Source organism: Homo sapiens, chromosome 13 (assembly GCF_000001405.40).
Source record: "Homo sapiens chromosome 13, GRCh38.p14 Primary Assembly".
NCBI classification, from domain to species: Eukaryota; Metazoa; Chordata; class Mammalia; order Primates; family Hominidae; genus Homo; species Homo sapiens.
The window spans coordinates 113394927-113415547 of NC_000013.11; the positions used below are offsets into that span (position 1 = coordinate 113394927).

Genomic DNA, 20621 nt, shown 5'->3' on the forward strand with positions numbered 1-20621 from the left:
TGCGCCCGGCCTTATATTGGATTTTAAACATTAAATGGTACAATATTTTCCATTTCACAAAGTTCTTCCTCAGCTAATTTTAAATGACTGCTATTTCACTGAATAAGACACCACACTTTATTTAACTAATCTCTTTTTTTTTTTTGAGAGGGAGTCTTGCAATGTTGCCCAGGCTGGAGTGCAATGGTGTGATCTCGTCTCACCGCAACCTCCGCCTCCTGGGTTCAAGCGATTCTCCTGCCTCAGCCTCCCTAGTAGCTGGGATTACAGGTGCCCGCCACCACGCCCAGCTAATTTTTTGTATTTTTAGTAGACACGGGGTTTCACTGTGTTGGCCAGGCTGGTCTTGAACTCCTGACTTCGTGATCCGCCCGCCTCGGCCTCCCAAAGTGCTGGGATTACAGGCGTGAGCCACCGCGCCTGGCCAACTAATCTCTTAATTGGTGGACATTTGTGTCACTTATGGCTGTATCTTGAGTAGTACCACGCTGGACAGATTGCTTTTCCTAAATACAGTTTCTCAAAGCTGGAATTGCTGGGCTGAGGAGCCACCCCTTCTAAAGGTTCTTGACATTATTGCCAAATTGCTTTATAAAAAGGAAGGGCCAATGTTTGGTCCCATCAGGAATGACTGTCTCCGTACATCCTCAGAGGTAGTGAGTGTTACCGATTCCTTTTAAAAATTGGGGGTTTTGGTTCTCAACTTGATAGACCCATGAGAGTTCAACTTCATGTCTTTGACCACCACGCACGCAGTATGTGGTCCGATACGGCACGTCCACCGTGGATGTTGATGGGGACAGCCCCGTGTGCTCCAGTATGTGGTCCGATACAGCACGTCTGCTGTGGGTTTTGATGGGGGCGCCCCTGTGTGTTCTTTTTTTTTTTTTTTTTTTTTTTTTGAGACGGAGTCTTGCTCTGTCGTCCAGGCTGGAGTGCAGTGGCACAATCTCGGCTCACTGCAAGCTCCGCCTACCAGGTTCACGCCATTCTCCTGCCTCAGCCTCCCGAGTAGCCGGAACCACAGGCACCCACCACCACGCCCGGCTAATTTTTTTGTATTTTTAGTAGAGACGGGGTTTCACCGTGTTAGCCAGGATGGTCTCTATCTCCTGACCTCGTGATCCGCCTTTCTTGGCCTCCCAAAGTGCTGGGATAACAGGCGTGAGCCACCGCGCCCGGCCCCCTGTGTTTTCTTGAGTGCAGGGGGCAGAATCCATCCTGGGGAATTTGAGCAGAAAGGGACATGGTGAGCAGTGTGACAGCTCCCAGCTCCTTGCAGGACTAGAGGAAAGGCCTCCAAGCCCAGCTCTGCACTGGCTAATGAGCTTCCTTCTCTCAGCTTCCCTGGAAACATCTTTCTCTGCACACCCAGGAGACTCCATATCACCGGCTCGTCCTCACCGTGGGCCCAGAACCTGCTGTGCCCTGCCGGCCTGGGGAGGTTGCGTCTCCCTGGCAGAGCTGCATGCGTCCCAGCAGCAAGGAAGGCTGGGGATGTGGGATGTGGGACTGCCGTGCAGAGAGAAGACAGGATTCATGTTGTGGGGAGCTGTCAAAACGTAGAAAAATAGCCCCACTTTTGGGGCTCCCATGAAAGACTGGGGTCTTATTCATATGTTTGAGCCCCTTTGGAATTTGAAATGAAGCCGAGTTCCCTTCCTAACGACACAGAGCTCGCAGAAGCCGCCTCTTCTCTTGGGCGTCCACCGTCAGCTCTTTCTGGACTTTGTTCTTCCTGTATGTGTGCGGCTTCCTGCCGTTATCAAAGTCCAAGAATTTCATCAGTTTCTTATTTTGTTTTATTTTTTAACATTTTATTCATTTTTTTTTAAGATACAAGATCTTGCTATGTTTCTAGGCTGGCCTCAAACTCCGAGGCTTACGTGATCCCCCCACCTCAGCCTCCTGAGTAGCTGGGACCACAGGTGCTGCCACCGCACCCGGCTTCTTGATTATTTTATCATCATCATTATTGATTGAGCAATGGAAATCTGTAACTTATTTGGTGCTTTTTTTGGGTTCTTATTTCTTCAAGATTTGGAAAATTCTTCCCTACGTGCAGATTTGCTGGTGGGTTGAGCGCCTTCTTCCAGTTGGGGATTAAGACATGACTTCCAGTGGTACAGGCCGTAAGGAAACAGCCATCCAGAGAATTCAACAGCTCTTTCTCCGCTCTTCAATACAACATGACCTGTGGTCTTTTGTTCTTTTATTTTTTATTTTACTTTCATTTTTAAATAGAGACGGGGTCTCACTATGTTGCCCAGGCTGGTCTGGAACTCCTGGTCTCAAGTGGTGAGAAACAAACTCATCTGTCCAAACCCAGAAGAAGGACTCGGAGACCCGGAGGAGAGTGAAAGGGAGACTTTCTTTCTTTCTTTTTTTTTTTTGAGACAGAGTCTCGCTCTGTCACCCGGCTGGAGTGCAGTGGCGTAATCTCGGCTCACTGCAACCTCTGCTTCCCGGGTCCAAGCAGTTCTCCTGCCTCAGCCTCCTGAGTAGCTGGGATTACAGGTGCACACCACCACACTCAGTTAATTTTTTTATTTTTAGTAGAGACGGGGTTTCACCATGTTGGTCAGGCTGGTCTTGAACTCCTGACCTTGTGATCTGCCTGCCTCAGCCTCCCAAAGTGCTGGGATTACAGGCATGAGCCACTGCACCTGGCTGAAAGTGAGACTGTTGATGATGGTCTTGCAAGATCGGGTGTCTGATGGGCAGCCACAGCCAGCACAGTTTCAACAAATAATTTATCCCCTAGTGCACAGGTGTCTCCCCGGGTTCCTCACAGGCTGAGTACTCTGGGGTCACAGTCTTCTGGGACGTCACCTATTGGTTGTTGGGCAGGGGCTGTAGGTGTTTTTTTTAGGGGTGTCCTGTTGCATTTTGTTGCAGCCCACAATGCATTGCAATCCCAGTCAGCCCAGGGGCTCTTCAAGTATTTGACTTATGACCTAAGTAGCTGGGCAGGCTGATAAGAACAGACAAAGCCAGCTATTTTGCAGGCTAGTAAACTGTTATCTTAGACTAAACTTCTTTAGTTCAGGTGAGAGCACCTAAGGGCCGGGGGGAAGGGAGGGAGAAGGGGAGGCCGGCAAGCAGGCACTGGCGATCCAGGCAGGGGCCTCGGACCTCCTGTTTCTTCTGTAGTTTGCTGACTTAAGCCGATTCAAGGCACTTTGTCTTGGAAACGGACCACTGTAGACACTGTTGCCTTCACTCCCCGCTTGGCCTCCTTTGTTCTTCTAGGAGAAGATGCCTCGGCACTTTCACGAGTTTGGGGTGTGCACAGATGGGGCTTCTAGTAGGCTCCTGTGCCTTCGAGTGGCTTCCCAGACACCGCCTGGGGTTGTGGACCTGAGCCAGGCCAGTCCTCTCGCTGTCAGAGAAACGGCGTGCACTGCTCAGCTGCTCAGTCCTGGGCTTTGGGGGCTACGTGACATCCATTCCTGTCAAAAATCCATGGCGGCCATAAAGATTCAGCAAATGCACCGACGCTCAAACAGACAAATGTCCCGGCACTTCCTTTTGTGGTTGGGGCTTTTTCTTCTGTTCAGGGAAACATTTGTCTACCCCAAGCTTATAACAATATCCCAAGAATGGGGTTTGATCAGACTTCTATGTACACCAGTCTCACAGACGCCCTCAATAAGTGCTTTTAAAAGTTCTAGCCGGTCGCAGAGGCTCACGCCTGTAATCCCAGCACTTTGGGAGGCCGAGGCAGGCGGATCACGAGGTCAGGAGATCGAGACCATCCTGGATAACGTGGTGAAACCCTGTCTCTACTAAAAATACAAAAAATTAGCCGGGCGTCTTGGCGGGCGCCTGTAGTCCCAGCTACTGAGGAGGCTGAGGCAGGACAGTGGCGTGAACCCGGGAGGCAGAGCTTGCAGTGAGCCGAGATCACGCCACTGCACTCCAGCCTGGGTGGCAGAGCGAGACTCCGTCTCAAAATAAATAAATGAAATAAAATAAAATAAAAGTTCTAATGAAAGCCTGTGTCATAGCTTAATTGACAGGGGTTTTCTTTCAGGACAAGAGGTGCCTGCACCATCCCAAAGCCTCGGCTGCCGGGCCAGTGCTCTCAGACACGAGGCATCAGCTCGTTTCAGTGGAACAAGCTTTCCTCCTCACAAGATGCCAAGAACCCGCGCCACCCACGGGCACAGCAGGGGTTTGGAATGCAGGCATTCCCAGCTAGGTCTGGCGTGAGCTTAAACCACCCGTTGTTAAATCCTCATGAAAAGTCACTTACAAAGTTCTCCTGCATACAGAGTAGTGGAGGGCAGAGGGTGTCTCACAGGCCTGCTGGGCCCGTTGCACCCATACTCCTTCCCTCCCTTCTGTCCAGTCTCCCTCCGTGTCCCAGAGGACACCCCAGCCCTTTGGCCCCCCGCGGCCCAGGTGCAGTGGCCGAAGTCCAGCTCCCTGGGTCTTGCTCCGAGGCCGGCACAGTCTTGACTGGACCAAGAGAGGGTCTGGGGAGTGCATGGCCTTGTCTCTCTAAGCACATCCTAAGGAGTTCTCCTCCCACTTGGGGCCTTGCCCCAGACCCTCCCTCCTGCCCAGGATCACTGCTCCAGGCTGGCCACATTCACCCGATGGGGGCTCTGCCCCTCGCCCCAGGCCTGAGTCCTACTTCATTTATGCGGCTGCTTCAACAATGCAAGGAAGAGATTTGTAATGGGAAAGGTATTTTATTTCTTTTTGAAATTATTTCCAGCTGAATGATGTTAGTAAAAATACAGAGAGAATACAACAAATGACATTTAGTAATTTTTTCTGACTAACCCATTTTAGGGTTGTTTATATACAAAGAAGAATATGAACAAGAACAAATTTAATAAATAGCTGTAGCCTAATACACAACCGAAAGACCGTAACTCCAACAGCAGAGATACCCTGAGAACAGAATAAGGAGGTGGTGCTGAGCGTGTAAAATCCCAGACAACGACCCTCCCTGAGCGAGTGTCCTGAACATGACCACATTCTCGTCGCCGTCTCGGGACCTTCCTGCCGCCTGAGTGCACCGCCTCCCGCCCGGCTGTTGTCACTTGCACCCACAGACCTGCGGCTCACAGTGGGCCTGTCGACAGCCGGAGGCACCGTAAAAAACTGCAGGGAGGAGGCAGTCAACGAGTCGCTCAACTACACAAAATTAATGATGTTAACTAAGAAGCTAAAATAAATATCCTGTTTTCTTTTCTTTTCTTTTCTTCTTTTTTTTTTTTTTTTTGACGGAGTCTCGCTCTGTCACCCAGGCTGGAGTGCAGTGGCGCAATCTCGGCTCACTGCAAGCTCCACCTCCCGGGTTCACGCCATTCTCCTGTCTCAGGCTCCCGAGTAGCTGGGACTACAGGCACCCACCACCACGCCCGGCTAATTTTTGTATTTTTAGTAGAGACAGGGTTTCACTGTGTTAGCCAGGATGGTCTTGATCTCCTGACCTCGTGATCTGTCTGCCTCGGCCTCCCAAAGTGCTGGGATTACAGGCATGAGCCACCGTGCCCGGCCACTTTCTTTCTTTCTTTTTTTTTTTTTTTAAAAAAACAAAACAACTTTGGGTTTTATTTAAAATGCCCGTGGAGGTGGTTAGCGCCCCATTCTTCTGCTGTAGTTATTTCACCCCGGGAGGGTGTGGGCCTTAGCCATGTGGCCGTGATGGTCGTATCTGAAGTGTGAATACTTCCCCGCGCTATCTTCTAACCTGCGCTGTCTCAGCTTAGTGTGAACGTACGGACCGTTCTCAAATCCTGGTGAAGTCACTGGCAGTTTTTTCCTGCACACAGAGTAGCTGTGCTGTTTTTGAGCTGAGGGCAGTGTCATGCTGGGCTGCATCTGGCACATGGAGAGGACGGGCCAGTCGAGCAGGTGGCCTCCTGGCCGCTCACAGACTCTGCGCCCGCCAGACTGTGAGAGGGGTTCAGGCACGACACTTCCGGAGCTGTCATCTGGAGGAGATTCTCATCATTTTTTCCACCACTTAAAATAAAACCACTCAATGCCTTCTCCAGTGTACTCTCTGGTCTATTTAAAAATAGCAGCGCAAGTCCCACCACTTCTTATTTATAAAGGGAACAGCCAGTGAACATATTTTTACCTCCCGTGTCTGTCATCATGTTCTTGCCACTCATTGCCTCCAATTCCAAATAGGTAAAGAGTGAGGGCCGTGCCGCTGTGCCTGGAGTGGCAGGGGCAGCCACACAGACCTGGGGGTCCCTGAGCTCCCCCAGCTCCAGGGAGGACGCCCCAGGCATGAGCAGGGGCCGCCAACAGGACAAAGAGGCCACTCTGTCAGCCTCTGCTGGACCCCTGAGCTCCCCTCTCATGGGCCTCTCCGTTTGGGTGGCTCCGAGAGGCCAACTCCAGCCCCAACTGCAGGCTCCCAGGACTGCAGGGGCAGGGACTCTGGAGGTCCGTGTGCTTCGTGAGAGAGGGGACCCTGTCCTCCTAGCAGGGGTCCAGCGGCACCACAGCAAGACTTCTGTGGCCAAGTACACGCCATGCTCAGCTCTGCCCCCACCCGCACCCCCGGACCATCCTGTGTGCAGCTGGGCTGCCCCGGGACCCACACGCGCGAGGGGCACCCGGTGCTCAGGAGCCTCCACACACAGCAGCTCGCACTTAGAACCCACACGCCAAGCAGAAACCCCTCGAAGCGGGCTGGGAGCACGGACCCCTGATTTATAGAGGAGGCCCCGGGGGCCCTGTCGGGGGAGCTGTGGGGACCGGCCCCCCAGAGCTCAGCACAGCCCGGCCCTCCTTCCAGACACCAGCACTCGCATGTCCCAGCAGGTGAGGGTGGGTCAAACCTGCTGGATCTGAAGTTAATTGTTCGACTGGAAGGAAACCTGTGCGCTCCCCGGAGCATGACGCCACGCCGCCTCCTTGGCGCTGCAGAGCCAAAGCCACTGGCGTCTGCCGGGATGGACCTTCCCTGGAAGGAGAGACCTCAGCCCCGCGTGGGTAGGACGCGCCTGCTGAACGCCCTCTCAGGGCCGACACTGGAAAACACCTTCCTCTAAAGGAACATCCGAGTCAGAAAACAGGTGCTCGCAGCAGGCACCAAAGCGCCTTTGCGAACGCTTAGGGCTGTTTCAGGAAACCGCTCAGTAGCAAAGGCAGAAGATGCCAAGACACCTTCAAAAAGCAGGAATTAACTTTCCACAGGGAGGGCACCACCAAAAACAAGGGTGCGGGGCTGTAGGGCGACAGGCTGCATCGGTTCACGCTGAAAATCCAGCTGCTCCGGGGCCACTCAGGCAGCCGTGTGGCCTCACGGGTCCGGGTTTCAGAGGCCACCGAGTGGCCTGGGACGATGGATCGCGACACGGAGGTGCATGGCTCCATCATGGGGAAGAATGTGCTTTAAAATAGGTGCATGGAGGAAGAGCCTAAAAAATAGTCCAGAGTAGCAACAAAAACCATCTCGAGGCAATGTGACCACAGGTGGCTTTGATTTCCTTCTTGTGCCTCTAGACAGCATTCAAATATTCCAGCCTGAACATGCATTACCTCAGTACCTGAACAGGGCCGGAGTCGTGGGCCGTCTCGGGCCAGGGCAGGAAACACTTCTATGCTGTTCGGGAGGACGGAGGACAGACAGCGAGGCTCTCAGGTCACCGGCACCAGTGGCACCACCCACAGGGACTGCAGGGAAGGGCGGGCAGGCTCCCGTTCGTTCTCCCAGCACCCAGTTTCCAGACGAAGCCTCCCTGGGATCCTGGCTTCCCACGGCTCTGCACTGTCCCTTTCTCAGAACTTAACGTGGGCATTTCCTGAGGCCTCTTCCTCCGGATGAGCTGGTTTCGGCCTGGGATCCCAGCGTCCCCACACCCTCTGGTGACCACCACATGGCCCAGCAGCCACACAGCACCCGGCACCCACCTGGGCGTCTGAGGCTGGAGGAAGCTCTGCCCTTTCTTTCGAGTCATGGGGGTGGGGCGGTGTGCATCACTTTGGGCCCATGGATGGTGGGTGCCATGCGGCCACGTCAGAGCAGGGCATGGTGGGGTGTGGGCAGGGAGCAGTGGGAGGTGGCCCTGTGAGAGCTGGGGAGGTGTCCCAAAGTGCCAGCATCCTGCAGATCGAAGGGGACGCACACACCGTGCCACTGCGGGAGGTGTGAGCTCCACGCTGCAGGCTGTGTGAGAGAGGGGTGAGCCGGCGCCCCCGAGTGAAGACACAAAGAATCCCGAGGGCCTGGTGAGGCCACAGGCCCGCACCTCCCACCCCCATGGCCTCGTGGCTCTGTGGGGTGACAGGAACCCGACCCACATGTAGCTCAATCCTCCCAAGGTCAGCTTGTGAAGAAGGGAAAGAAAATTATGGAAACAGGCGTCTCTGTAGGGGATGCTCCAAGACGCATTTGGAGGCAGGAAAATGCCTGAAGTCCCTCAATGGGCGGATGTCACAGTGCTGGGCGAGCCACGGTGTGTACTCGGGGCCTCACTTTGGGAGCTCAGACGTGTCGCTGGCCCTGACGCTCATTGGTCTGAAGGACAAATCGAAGGCCCTCTGGTCACGGAAGCTCTGGGCTTTGTACTTGGCCAGGTGCCTGGACCTCCCGCGACGCTCGGGCTCCGATGCCTCCATCCTGTCCTGCAGGGCCCTCTCAGCCCCAGGGTGGTCTGGGGACCCCTCCTGGGCCGGGGCCTGGGGAGTCCCGCAGCCCCCAGCCTCAGGCTTGGGCTCAGTTGGGCTCTTTCCCAGCCCCAGGGGAGAGGTGGCAATGCTCTTGCCCCTGAGGGGGCGGCTTCCTGGGGGTGGGTACCCGGCGCTGGGCTCCCCCAGGCCACTGCCCCCTGACTGTCCACCATCCCTGGGGGCTGGGCTTCTGGACCCCCCACTCCTGCCAGCAGCATCCACTCCCTCAGCTATGCCACTAATGGGCTGCTCCCAGGCCCGAGGCGCCATCCCACTTGTCAAGGCCTGTTCCCGACCCTGTTCCCAAGCCCGTTCCTGAGCCCCTTTCTGGGTCTGCCTCTGAGTCTCTATCTGGGTCTGCTCCCAGCCCTGATCCCGAGCCCGATCCCGAGCCCATTCCTGAGCCCCTTTCTGGGCCTGACCCTGAGCCTCTATGTGGGTCTGCTCCCGACCCTGTTCCTGAGCCCGTTCCTGAGCCCCTTTCTGGGCCTGTTCCCGAGCCCGTTCCTGAGCCCCTTTCTGGGCCTGTTCCCGAGCCCGTTCCTGAGCCCCTTTCTGGGCCTGTTCCCGAGCCCGCTCCTGAGCCCCTTTCTGGGCCTGTTCCCGAGCCCGTTCCTGAGCCCCTTTCTGGGCCTGTTCCCGAGCCCGTTCCTGAGCCCCTTTCTGGGCCTGTTCCCGAGCCCGTTCCTGAGCCCCCTTCTGGGCCTGACCCTGAGCCTCTATCTGGGTCTGCTCCTGAGCCTGTTCCTGGGCCCGTTCCTGAGCCCCTTTCTGGGCCTGACCCTGAACCCGTTCCTGAGCCCCTTTCTGGGTCTGTTCCTGAGCCCATTTCTGGGCCTTTATCTGGGTCTGCCACTGGGCCTGTCCCTGAGCCTCTTCCTGGGCCCATTTCTGAACCTCTCCTTGAACCTGTTTCTGGGCCTGTCCCTGAATCTGCCCCTGAGCCCATTTCTGGGCCTGTCCCTGAACCTGTCCCTGGGCCCCACCCTGAGCTGGTTCCTGTGCCTGCCCCTGGGCCTCTATCTGGGTCTGCCACTGGGCCTGTTCTTGAGCGTGTCCCTGAGCCTGTCCCTGGGCCCAATTCTGAAACTGTTTCTGGGCCTGTCCCTGACTGTGTCCCTGGGTCCCACCCTGAGCCTGTTCCTGTGCCTGCCCCTGGGCCTCTATCTGGGTCTGCCACTGGGCCTGTTCTTGAGCGTGTCCCTGAACCTGTCCCCGGTCCCATTCCTGAACCTGTTTCTGGGCCTGTCCTTGGGCTGCCGGGCTTCCCGGCCCCTCGGGCTCCCCTGGAGGCACAGCTGGGTTCCTGGCAGCCCTGGTGCCCTCTCCCCACGCCGTGCTCCGCCCCCGCTCCTCCCAGGGTCCCTGCAGATGCTGCTGACCTTGGTCACTGCGCTGGCAGGCGCCCCCAACCCCAATGGCCATCCCTTTGTCCCCGGCCAGATCCTGTGCCCACCATGTCTGAGGCTCTTTTGCTGGGTTCAGCACAACCTTCGAGCCCGACGGCGCCACCCTCTTCCCCGCATCCCCGGGCTGGGGGGTCTCCTCCTGTGCCTGGTGACTCTGTTGCCTCCCCAGGTCCGCCTGTGTCAGGGGACGCTCCTGGGATTCACCTGCCTGCGTCCTAGGCTCGGGGACACTGGCCCGGAGCTTTGCCTGTGTGTCACCAGCAGTAGGGGGCAGGTGTGCCTGTAGATGGGGAGGGCCCCGCTGGTGGGTGCCACCTACCCACCCCATGTCCACCTCCGCGGGAGGCACTGCGGGAAGCAGATGGTCAGGCTCCGCCCCACGGGGAAACCTGACGCCCTCCCTGCCCTTTGCCTGTGGGTTCTCAGGAGGCGACGGCGGGAGGCCAGGGCCATAGCTGGGGGACTCTGCCACGCTCCTTGCCTGTGGCCTAGGATGATCAGAAGCAGGAATTCCAGACTCTGTGCTGAAACCCAAAAGGTTTCCTTCCACAGCCACATCCTTTCTGCCTCCTACAGCTGCTGTATGTCTGCTGGCTGCTGATGTGTTTGAAATGTATAATCGGGCCGCCTCTGGGTGCCGGGCGAGGGCCGCAGCATCCTCCGGGTGGCGGGCGAGGGTCGCAATGTCCTCTGGGTGCTGGACGAGGGCCACGCCTCTCAGGAGGCTCCTCCCTGCTGCTCCACTCTTGGGCTCCAAGGATCCCCCAGGGGCCAGGAGGCCGTGGCTGTGAGGGTCTCGAGGGAGAGCCTCTCCTCTGGGGTGGCTTTCGGACAAGGCTCTGCTTCCCCACTGGCCCAGCGTCTCTGGCTCTCCCGCTGTGCGGTCTCCAGGGCTCTGGGTGCTGCCTGGCGCTGGTGCAGGCGTGGCGCGGCTCGCAACGCTCCCTGCAGCTGCCATCGCCCCACAGGCTTTCATACCTGGTTTGGGTGGTTCATTTAATGAGGACAGTGGGTTCTCGCGAACATCATGGCTGGTGATTTCCTCGGCAGCCTTCAGGGGCTGAGAAGACTCTATTAGCAGCGGCCTTCTGCATTCCTCCAGCGCACCGGGCACTGTCATGCCCATCGGGGTGACACCCTCAGGCCCCGTACGCCCCTTGGATGATGCCGCCAGTGACGTGGGGGCTCCTGTTGGGTTTCTCCCAGTCGGGGACGGCACTTGCTGGCTGCTGGAGGCATGGCTGGTGTTTCCCCTCAGAAGGTTTTGTGAGGCTGCAGGATCATTTGTTGCGGAGCCCTTCTTCTGCATTGATATTTCATTAGATTCCGGCAACGGATGCTTCACATCTCTGAGCTCAGAGGTCCTCTCTCCTGAAATATCGTCAGGATTCCTGGGACCGTGTGAATTCTCAAAGCTGCCTTTGTTTTCCTTCCCGCCAGCAGGATCTGTCTGGAGTCTCTGTGTCAGAAGTGTCTCTGGGACACTGTGGTCGGCGCCCACAGCCCCTCTTGCTGCTGCCAGACGCGGAGCTGCCCGTGGCCCCTGCGGCGAAGAGGCGCTGAGTCCCGCCTGCATCCCTGAAAGCTTGCTCAGTTCCACTGGGGCTCGGTGACCCCTTCTGTTCTCAGTCACGGTGGGAAATTCTGTGTGGGCATTTTCAACCACATTCTCTCCTCCACAAATACAAGGTTTGTTTTCACCACTTGACATATTTTGCAGCCTGGTGGGAGGGGCTGGCATTTCATGGACAACTGGAATTTGGACAGTTATCCGTGGAGGCTCCGTGGCAGGCTGTGTTCTCCGAGCAGCCTGGACCGATGGAGCGTTCAGGGGTGGGATGTGCTCCGGCACCTTCTGTTCTGGGAAATACTTCTGGGTGGCAAAGAGGGGGTCTCTCCCTGGGTCTGGGAAGCCTGCTCCTTCCCTTTCATCCTCTGAACTGCAAACAGTCATGGTGATTTCAGGGCCCTCCCCTGCACACTCGCCTGGGGGCCCAGGAGGCCACGTGAGCCTGGCTCCCCTCACCTCCTGGACGCCTCCTGCGGTGCTCTCTGCGGTGGGGTCTGCAGTCCCATCACCTCCGGCTGATCCGGTGCCCCAAGGGCTGGCCGGTCCCAGTGGGGATGATGCAGGCACAAGGCCAGGAAGGACTCCACCTGTGCAGGGAGCACAAGAGAAGGCCAGCGAGGGGACAGCGTGGCCGTCCCTCTGAGCCATCACCTGGGGTGTCACGGGCTTCGAGGGCCTTGGCTGTCTTTGGGGCTCCTCCTCCAGGGGCCCCTTTCCCACTGCTTTGTTCCCACTGGGCCCCGTCTCCCTGGCACTAGGGGGCACGCTGGCTTCTCCTCTGGGTGGACGCCTTGCCTCCGAGTGGCTGATTTTGGTGCAGTGGGACAGCCAGCTCCTGGGGCCACAGACGACGGTGGCGATGCTGAGGGCCGGCAGGGGCTCAGCCGTGCAGGCCAGAAAGCGGGCAGGGGGCATCTTGACGCAGGTGCTGGCCATGGTGGCCGTGTGCAGCACGCGCACCTCCGGCCGGTGCATCCTCTTCCTCTGCAGGTTCCTCTTCTTCCGCTCCTGCGTGTGCAGCCTCAGCGCACTGGCCTCGGAGCACAGGCAGCTGTTCTGCTCGAACTTCTCCCGCAGCTTGGACAGCACCGAGCTCTTGCCCATGATCTTCGGCAAGAGGCCCCTGGCGGCTTTGGGCCGCTCCACAGGGGGCTTCTCGCGTGCTTCTTTCTCCTTCGCCTCCTTCTCCTCGGCGGCCAAGAATATCTTCAGGATGTTTTTCACGGTGCTCTTCCCGGCCGGGTGGCCCCAGCGGGGCTTCTCGCTGAGGCAGGGCTTTGGGGCCGGCTCCTTGGTCTTCTCCAGGAGCTTGTTGATGGTGGCACCCACGAGGCCCCCACCCGGCCCCTGCTTGTCCTTGGAGATCAGCCGGCCCACCTCCCTGGTCCTCTTGAGGTAGCGCTCCCGGCCAGTGCCCAGGAACTTGGCCTGCAGGAGCTGGAAGCGCGTGGGCCGCTGGGTGGCCTCCTGGGTCTGGGGCTGGTGGCTGGGCCTGCTCCCCCCGGCCTCTGTCCCCGGGGGCCGGTCTGCGCGGCCCGTGACGTAGAGCAGCAGGCTGCTGAGGATGGAGTGGGCGGCCGGGTCACAGGCCAGCTTGCCCATCTTCTTCTTCAGGGTTTGGGCGTCCACAGACATGACGTCACTGCAGGTCTTGCTGCTCTTCCGGCTGCAGAGAAAAAGGAATCATCACCTACTTCATCATCATTTTTCTCCAAGATGACTCTATAGAACATTTATCATGGGGCAATCCCACCTTTTCAGGGGCCCCAAAAGTCTGGTAGGGAGAAAAAGAGATTAGGAGCCAGGAGCTGTGGCTTCTGGGCTGTCTCTGCTGTTAATTCGGGGTTGGCAGGGATGCCAAAGCTTTTCTGGGTCACTGTTTCCTGTTAAATGGCAGGAACTTCTGACACACGCTCCTCCTAAGGGCATTGAGGAGTTGACATTGAACAGTTTAGTGAAAGCGTTTGGAAAACCACTTTGCATATGCAACATATTAAAAGAAAATTTTAACAAACATACTTTGCTTGTACAGTAGGTAAAAAAGCACATATAAAGAAGTGTCTATTCTCTGTGTGGACTGTGTATGTCTCTACCTTTAAGTATGAAAGATAAAATTAACAGCATATTTAAATTCTGCCATGATCCCAGGGACCTGGGTCCCTACAGCAGAGACTGAAGATTCAGCAAACCGCTCAGGCTTGGGGTGGGCGGAGAAGGCAGAAAGAGTTTCCTCACAAGCTCCTGGGCAGGAACCAGCACTGCAGTGGGCAGTGCCCACCAGGAGCAGGGGAGGAGGGGGCTGCAGAGAGGAAGGGAGGAGGGGGCTGCAGAGAGGAGGGAAAGATGGGGCTACTGAAAGGAGGGGAGGAGCGGGTTGCAGAGAGGAGGGGAGGTTGCAGAGAGGGAGGAAAGAGGGGGCTGCAGAGAGGAGGGAGGAGGGCTGGGATCACTTGGCTGGGTCTCCGGAACCCCTTTCAAAATGGCTTAGAGGAGCCACTGAGGCTGGGGGCTGCCGCCCTTTCCCAGTGAGATGTTTTTCTGCAGGTTCACCAGGGATTCCTTCCCACCAGCCCAGCTTTCAAAGAGACGGGACCAAATGGGTCTTGGCTGGAGAGACAGGGTCTTTGTGATTTGATGGTGTTTTCTGAGCCTGGGTCCGGGGTAAGTTCTGCTCCTGAGCAGCCGTGACCACAGGAGCAAAGCTGGAAGGTCTCCCCATCTGTGGCAGGGGGTGGAGCCGTCTCTGACCTCCCCAGATGATAATTTTGGGTAGACGCACCCAGAATCTTAGCTGTCACACCTGTTAGTCATTCATTCTAAGGAGATCATCAGGGATGAGGAACAAAGACTCGAGTATTACAGGAAAAGTCGCCTTCATGGTGCCGTTTATAATGTTGAAAAATCTAGAGCATCCTCGATGTCCAACTCCAGGGCGGCCGCACAATGGCACGTCCACATTTGTGGGAGAAGAGTCGGTGGCCGGATGCGGCTGGTGACGTGGTGCCAAGTGAAAAGCTCACTCTAACCCGATTGTTTTTAAGAAGCTGAGGCCGGGCGCCGTGGCTCACGCCTGTAATCTCAGCGTGATTTGGGAGGCCGAGGCTGGCAGATCACGAGGTCAGGAGATCGAGACCATCCTGGATAACACGGTGAAACCCCGTCTCTACTAAAGATATAAAAAAAAATCAGCCGGGCGTGGTGGCGGGCGCCTGTAGTCCCAGCTACTTGGGAGGCTGAGGCAGGCGAATGGCGTGAACCCAGGAGGCAGAGCTTGCAGTGAGCCGAGATCGCACCACTGCACTCCAGCCTGAGCGACAGAGCGAGACTCCGTCTCAAAAAAAAAAAAAAAAAAAAGGAAGAAGCTGAGCAGGCTGAAAAGAGACCGGAAGGAAATGTGTGAACATACTTCTCTTTTTGTGTTTGTCTGCATTTTTCCAAAAGAGAGAGCTCTGTTTTGAAGCCATGGATGGATTTCCTTGTTAAAAGCTGTTGCCAAGCAGCCCTGATGGAGGAGGTGACAGCGGCTGACCACATGACCACGTAGCCGTGTTGCCGTGGGCACGCGATGACCCAGGGCCAGGACGGACCCCACACGGAGGAGTGGCAGGGCCGCAGATGGAACACAGGACTCCGCTTCCCCCACCTTCCCGAGACGCCTCCCTCGCCCGGTTCAGTGAGTTCACGTGGAGAGAGTGTGCCGTTCGCCCCCAAACCCCGGTGGGCATCAGTGGATCAAGAGGCCTTGCTGAGACCCGGATTTTGGGGCCGCACCACCAACGCCTCTGATCCACGGTCTGGGGAGGGGCCTGGGAATCTGCATTTTAACGAGTCCCTGGTGATTCCGAGGCCGCTGGTCCGGGGACCCCACTCGGAACCACTGAGGCAGACGGCGCTCCTTCCAAACCTGCCAAGGATGAGACATTTACACGAAAACTAAACTCGGAACCTGCTGCAAGGCCACAGTGTGCTGCGAGCTGGGACGACTGTAAAAATAAACTAATCCAAGGAGCAGCTGTGCGTCCTGCTGCCAGGCACGCCCTCGTTCTGAGTCATTGGAGCCCACCCAGGAAGGAGCCGCTGTGTCCCTATGGCTGGTAAAGTGATCCCGGGCGGCCCCAGAACTGCCCCAGCCAGAGGCCGCCCACACCCCCCTGAACCCAGAGTCGACAGGCGCACCCTCAACTGCGCCGTGGGGATGGGGAGGGCAGAGGAGCAGGCCGACCTCGGGGTTGGGGGACCAGCCTGGGGGCATTGTGCTCCCTCTGAAGGCTGCACCCCCAGCGAAGGGTCAGCGGCCCTACCTGCCTTCCGCCGGGCGTCTCTGGACACGTCCCCTCTGCTATGACTTGGCGGCCCGTGGAGGGCTGCGCTCCCTTCACCCCAGGAGGCTGAACTTCTCAGAGCCTGTCACACGTTTTGTCCCCGCTCTGGGCATTTCAGTTGTCTTAATGACTTTGCAGGTGAGTCATTCGGATGACTGAACCATGCTGACTGCTTGTGGTGGGGACATTCTGATCATCTGAATAAAGGCCACCAGGCTCAGCCACGTGTGACGTCAATCCGCCCCTTCCCACATCCCTCGCTGATGGCTTCTGAGCCCCACCGTCCAAATAGAAAGATGAAAAACAGAGCTGGAATTAAACCAGCTCATCCTCCTGCCTTGTTAGGAGGCGAGCTTGGATGAAGAGAGTAATGGAGCTCCAGGCTGATTTCTAAATTCCCATTGCCCTGGCCTCAGGTGGTGGGCAGCTTGGTGACGGGACCACTCCCCACACTCGGAGCCCCTTGTCGAGGCTGAGCGTCTGTTCTGGGTGGTGGGGCCATGTCAGTGGATCCTCATAGGTTGGACTAGCTGCATGTCCTCCTTATGAGTCATAGTGGCTCAAAATCCAGTTTAGCTCTTCCACCGCACATCTAAGTCTGTAACCACTTATGAGGTCAGCGTGTCATCAAGACCTGGCCAGCAACCAGCGGTGAGCGTGGAGGACGTACTTGGCCACCCGGTCCAGCTCTTCAGCTGTCACAGCCGGCTTTCACCCCGCAGCGTGATCATCTGAGACACGTTTTCACTCACAGAGATCAGGATGCTCTTCTGGGTTTATTGGCTGAGGATTAGGGGATTCGGCCAGAGCTACAAAGTCCTCTTTGGGGTGAGCCCCGCCTTGCTGAGGTGTCCTCAGCCATGGACCTGTGGCTGTCGGAGGCGTCCGCGGTTCAGGATGACGCCCTTGGCGGGAGCGAGAGGGGTTTCCACAGCCCCCTTCACAGAGCCTTTGTGTTTTGCAATCATCATTAACCAAGTTCCTCCCTGGGTCTGGCCTGGCCACTCCCCTGCTCCCTGCTGTCCTGCCATTCCCCTGGGCTGCCCCTTCTCGTCACAAAGTCCTGCGCCCACCGCCCACTATTGCGCTCACCCTCTCTGGTCCCCGCCCCTCGTGGTAGCCCCAGAGGTGCTGCTGTCTTTGGGTTCCTTGAACCTGCGGGTGGTTCCTTCTTCCGGGGTCTACTCCCGGCTCAGCATGTTCTGTGCTCTGGGTTTCACTGGTTGGGGGATTCTGGGAGCCCCCAGCTCAGCGTGTGCTGCTGCTGCTGGCACATCCCGGGTGACTACTGTCACAGCACTATAATTTGCTTTTTTTTTGGGACGGAGTCTTGCTCTGTCGCCCAGGCTGGACTGCAGTGGCGCGATCTCGACTCACTGCAAGCTCCGCCTCCCAGGTTCACAGCATTCTCCTGCCTCAGCCTCCCGAGTAGCTGGGACTACAGGCGCCCGCCACCACGCCCGGCTAATTTTTTGTATTTTTTAGTAGAGACGGGGTTTCACCATGTTAGCCAGGATGGTCTCGATCTCCTGACCTCGTGATCCGCCTGCCTCGGCCTCCCAAAGTGCTGGGATGACAGGCGTGAGCCACCGCGCCCAGCCACAGCTCTATAATTTTCTAAGATCCGAGTGCACTTTTCAACAAGTCACCCCTGTTTCTGCCCAGCTCCCCACTAGAGCAGAGCCCCTGCATGGGCGGGACCCCTGTTGGTTCTGGTCTCTACTTTCCCGAGTCCAGAGCAGCGTTGGGCACAGCCGGGCGGGCTGGCAGAAGACCCGTGGGTGGCGAACAGCCCCCGTGGAGGCTCGGTTCACCCACCGCCAACAGTGCCCCGGAGGCTCAGTTCACCCACCGCCAACAGTGCCCCGCGGAGCTCGGTTCACCCACCGCCAACAGCGCCCCGCAGAACTCGGTTCACCCACCGCCAACAGCACCCCGCAGAACTCGGTTCACCCACCGCCAACAGCGCCCCGCAGAGCTCGGTTCACCCACCGCCAACAGCGCCCCGCAGAGCTCGGTTCACCCACCGCCAACAGCACCCCGCAGAACTCGGTTCACCCACCGCCAACAGTGCCCCGCAGAGCTCGGTTCACCCACCGCCAACAGCGCCCCGCAGAGCTCGGTTCACCCACCGCCAACAGCGCCCCGCAGAGCTCGGTTCACCCACCGCCAACAGCGCCCCGCAGAGCTCGGTTCACCCACCGCCAACAGCGCCCCGCAGAGCTCGGTTCACCCACCGCCAACAGCTCCTCGCAGAGCTCGGTTCACCCACCGCCAACAGCGCCTCGCAGAACTCGGTTCACCCACTGCACAACCCTGTTTCTCTCCTGGCCACCCCCTTTTCTGCCAGCTCCAGCCTCCACCCTGTTTGTCCACTCCACGCCCAACCTCGCTGTGCCCTTCAGCCTGGAACAGCCTCGCTGCCTCCCTGACGAGCTCCTATTCATCCTTCACAACCCGGCTCAGATGCCCCCACCTCAGGGAGCCTTTCCCAGAGGCCCAGCTCTGTGAGCCCCACGGTGACCCACACAGACCTCTATGTCCCCACAAAGGGGAACAGCGTGGACGCCAGGAACGCCCCCAAGTCATGGACTGAGAGGGGGGCCCAGGACTTTCGGCGACTCCCGCGTGGGGCTCTGCGTGTCTCCCGAGGCGCCCTGTGATCGGGGCCTTCACTTGCTGTGAAGGTGGGCCTCTCGCCCTTTCCCACCCCTGCTGCACACCTTGCTGCTGAGTGAACGCGTCCTCATGCGCTGGAGCCAGTGCTGCCCCTTGGGCCGTCAGCCCCACCCCTCAAAGCCTCCTGAAAAGGCCCCCGGTCAGAGCTGCGCTGGCGGAGTCTGGGCTGCCCTGTGTGACCGCTGCCCGCCCAGCAGTGCGGGGCGAGACCGGGCCTCCCTCAGCGTCCCCTCAGCACTTGGACAAGCTGCAGAACCCACAGGGAATGGAATGTCTTCCTCCCAGGGGCCAATATAAACAGCAGGGTGCCCGGCTTTCCTAATTTAGTTGTTGGTGGCTCTGGCCAGCCAGAGAGGTCGTTTGAAAATACAATGAGACTAGAGGCCATCACAGCGCAGGAGACACACCCGGGCCCACCATGATATGGACAGCAGCCCCTGTTGGCAGGTTCTTTGCTGGGGACTTTCTGGCCAGCAGGGCCTGGAGGTCACTGTTCTGCCCAGTCAGTGGCTGTGCTGGGCTCACCCGAGCCTGGCCCTGCGGCAGGGAACACCCTCAGCCGCAGTTTCCTCCTCTGAGAGAAGGGCAGGGCCGGTTTCACGTGGCAGCTGGGCCTGCAACTGTCTGGCTGTTCCAGGAGCCTGCTCAGAACACGGACCAGCCTCAGCCATGTCACACACATCCCTGTGCCAGCCTCCACATGTTTCTGACAGGGACACTTGGATGCCCTCGGCCAACAGCGCTTAGAAAACATGTCCTGGGCCTCCATCAACACCAGAGGCCTGCACTGCCATTTCCTGCCCCTCTGCGGATGAGCCTGGAGCCGCCCCCCCTTCCTCCCCTTGGCAGATTGGCCCCCACCCTCCCTCCCTCAGTCCCCAGCCTCCCTGCCCTCTGCGGCTCAGCCCCCGGCTTCCCTCCCCTCTACAGCTCAGTCCCGGCCTCCCCGATATGCTCTCAGGGCACTACAGGCCTGTCTGGGGGCACACATCCTGGCTGTGGCTCCATCTGTGCCTGTGGAACTGCTCTTGTCGCTGTGGTGCCAATGCTCCTCTTCCAGGGGCAGGGCCACGTGCCTCTGCACATCTCCCTGAGTGTGCTGAGCAGGGGTCTTCTGTTTTCTGTTTTTTTTTTTTTTTAGATGGAGTCTTTCTCTGTCACTCAGGCTGGAGTGCAATGGCGTGATCTCGGCTCACTGCAAGCTCCGCCTCCCGGGTTCAAGCCATTCTCCTGCCTCAGCCTCCCAAGTAGCTGGGATTACAGGGGCCCGCCACCACGCCCAGCTAATTTTTGTATTTTTTTAGAGATGAGGTTTCACCATGTTGGCTAGGCTGGTTTCGAACTCCTGACCTCATGATCCATGCCCCTCAGCCTCCCAAAGTGCTGGGATTACAGGCATGAGCCACCATGCCCAGCTCAGCCTCTTCTGTTTTTATGGCTGCTTGTTCTGTGCCCATTTTCCCCTGAAGCCATGAAGATCAGGGAGGGCGACACCTCCCTAGGTAGCCAGCGCCCAGCAACCCCCTGGGGCAGGTGAGGAGAGGGGAGGGGCCGTTTGGCAGCTGCGGTGGCAGAGTCCCTTCCACAGCTCATGGACAGAGACACTGGGGCTGCACCTTTGGGCTCCTGGGGTTCTTGCTGGTCAGCCTAGAGGGACGAGAGCCCTTCTGGAGACGCGGACCTGCCCGTGTCCGGGTGGGGCAGGGTGAGAAACGCCTGCCCGCGATGTGGTCCCCAAGCAGAGTGTGGACCTGGAAAGGGTTTAACCAAAGGCATTGAATAAGTGGCCTCCATGGCCCAGCTGCTCTACTGATGACAGGAAATGTTCTGCCCAGAGGCCAGCCAGGCGTGGGCTCAGTGGCCGGCTCCAGGCGACCAGGCAGGGTCCACCGAATTAGTGTTATAAAAAGAGAAGGGCTGGGTGCGGTGGCTCATGCCTGTAATCCCAGCACTTTGGGAGGCCGAGGCAGGCGGATCACGAGGTCAGGAGTT

At 58.0% G+C, this 20621-nt stretch overlaps 1 protein-coding gene across 5 annotated transcripts in view, besides 6 other annotated features; it reads right to left on the reverse strand.

Annotated features, from left to right (window-relative positions):
• Window positions 3108-3402: a silencer, noted in NCBI's record as "tiled region #10007; K562 Repressive non-DNase unmatched - State 20:ReprD". NCBI's record gives its function as "represses a minimal TATA promoter and a strong SV40 promoter by Sharpr-MPRA in K562 cells {active_cell/tissue: K562}" and the evidence as "EXISTENCE:reporter gene assay evidence [ECO:0000049][PMID:27701403]".
• ADPRHL1 (ADP-ribosylhydrolase like 1) overlaps window positions 4684-20621 on the reverse strand; it is a 53879-nt gene continuing 37941 nt past the window's right edge. For 2 of the 5 annotated variants that reach the window (XM_047430086.1, XM_011537461.3), the window contains one exon: window positions 4684-13294. In XM_047430086.1, the coding sequence (XP_047286042.1) occupies window positions 8452-13294 (4843 nt within the window). In that variant the 3' untranslated portion in view covers window positions 4684-8451. Of the gene's footprint in view, window positions 13295-15929; window positions 16050-18673; window positions 19468-20621 lie in introns of those variants that run through there. The other 3 variants (NM_001304433.1, NM_001375393.1, NM_001394807.1) reach the window with 3 other exon arrangements.
• Window positions 10454-11248: an enhancer, noted in NCBI's record as "H3K27ac-H3K4me1 hESC enhancer chr13:114059695-114060489 (GRCh37/hg19 assembly coordinates)". NCBI's record gives its function as "activates a minimal SCP1, AML or CMV promoter by ChIP-STARR-seq in primed H9 embryonic stem cells {active_cell/tissue: H9 hESC(primed)}" and the evidence as "EXISTENCE:reporter gene assay evidence [ECO:0000049][PMID:30033119]".
• Window positions 12366-13051: an enhancer, noted in NCBI's record as "H3K27ac-H3K4me1 hESC enhancer chr13:114061607-114062292 (GRCh37/hg19 assembly coordinates)". NCBI's record gives its function as "activates a minimal SCP1, AML or CMV promoter by ChIP-STARR-seq in naive H9 embryonic stem cells {active_cell/tissue: H9 hESC(naive)}" and the evidence as "EXISTENCE:reporter gene assay evidence [ECO:0000049][PMID:30033119]".
• Window positions 15240-15775: an enhancer, noted in NCBI's record as "H3K4me1 hESC enhancer chr13:114064481-114065016 (GRCh37/hg19 assembly coordinates)". NCBI's record gives its function as "activates a minimal SCP1, AML or CMV promoter by ChIP-STARR-seq in naive H9 embryonic stem cells {active_cell/tissue: H9 hESC(naive)}" and the evidence as "EXISTENCE:reporter gene assay evidence [ECO:0000049][PMID:30033119]".
• Window positions 15240-16684: a biological region, named in NCBI's record as "P300/CBP strongly-dependent group 1 enhancer GRCh37_chr13:114064726-114065925".
• Window positions 15485-16684: an enhancer, noted in NCBI's record as "P300/CBP strongly-dependent group 1 enhancer chr13:114064726-114065925 (GRCh37/hg19 assembly coordinates)". NCBI's record gives its function as "activates an origin of replication core promoter dependent on BRD2, BRD4, P300/CBP, MED14 and CDK7 cofactors, with strong dependence on P300/CBP, by STARR-seq in HCT116 cells {active_cell/tissue: HCT116}" and the evidence as "EXISTENCE:reporter gene assay evidence [ECO:0000049][PMID:35650434]".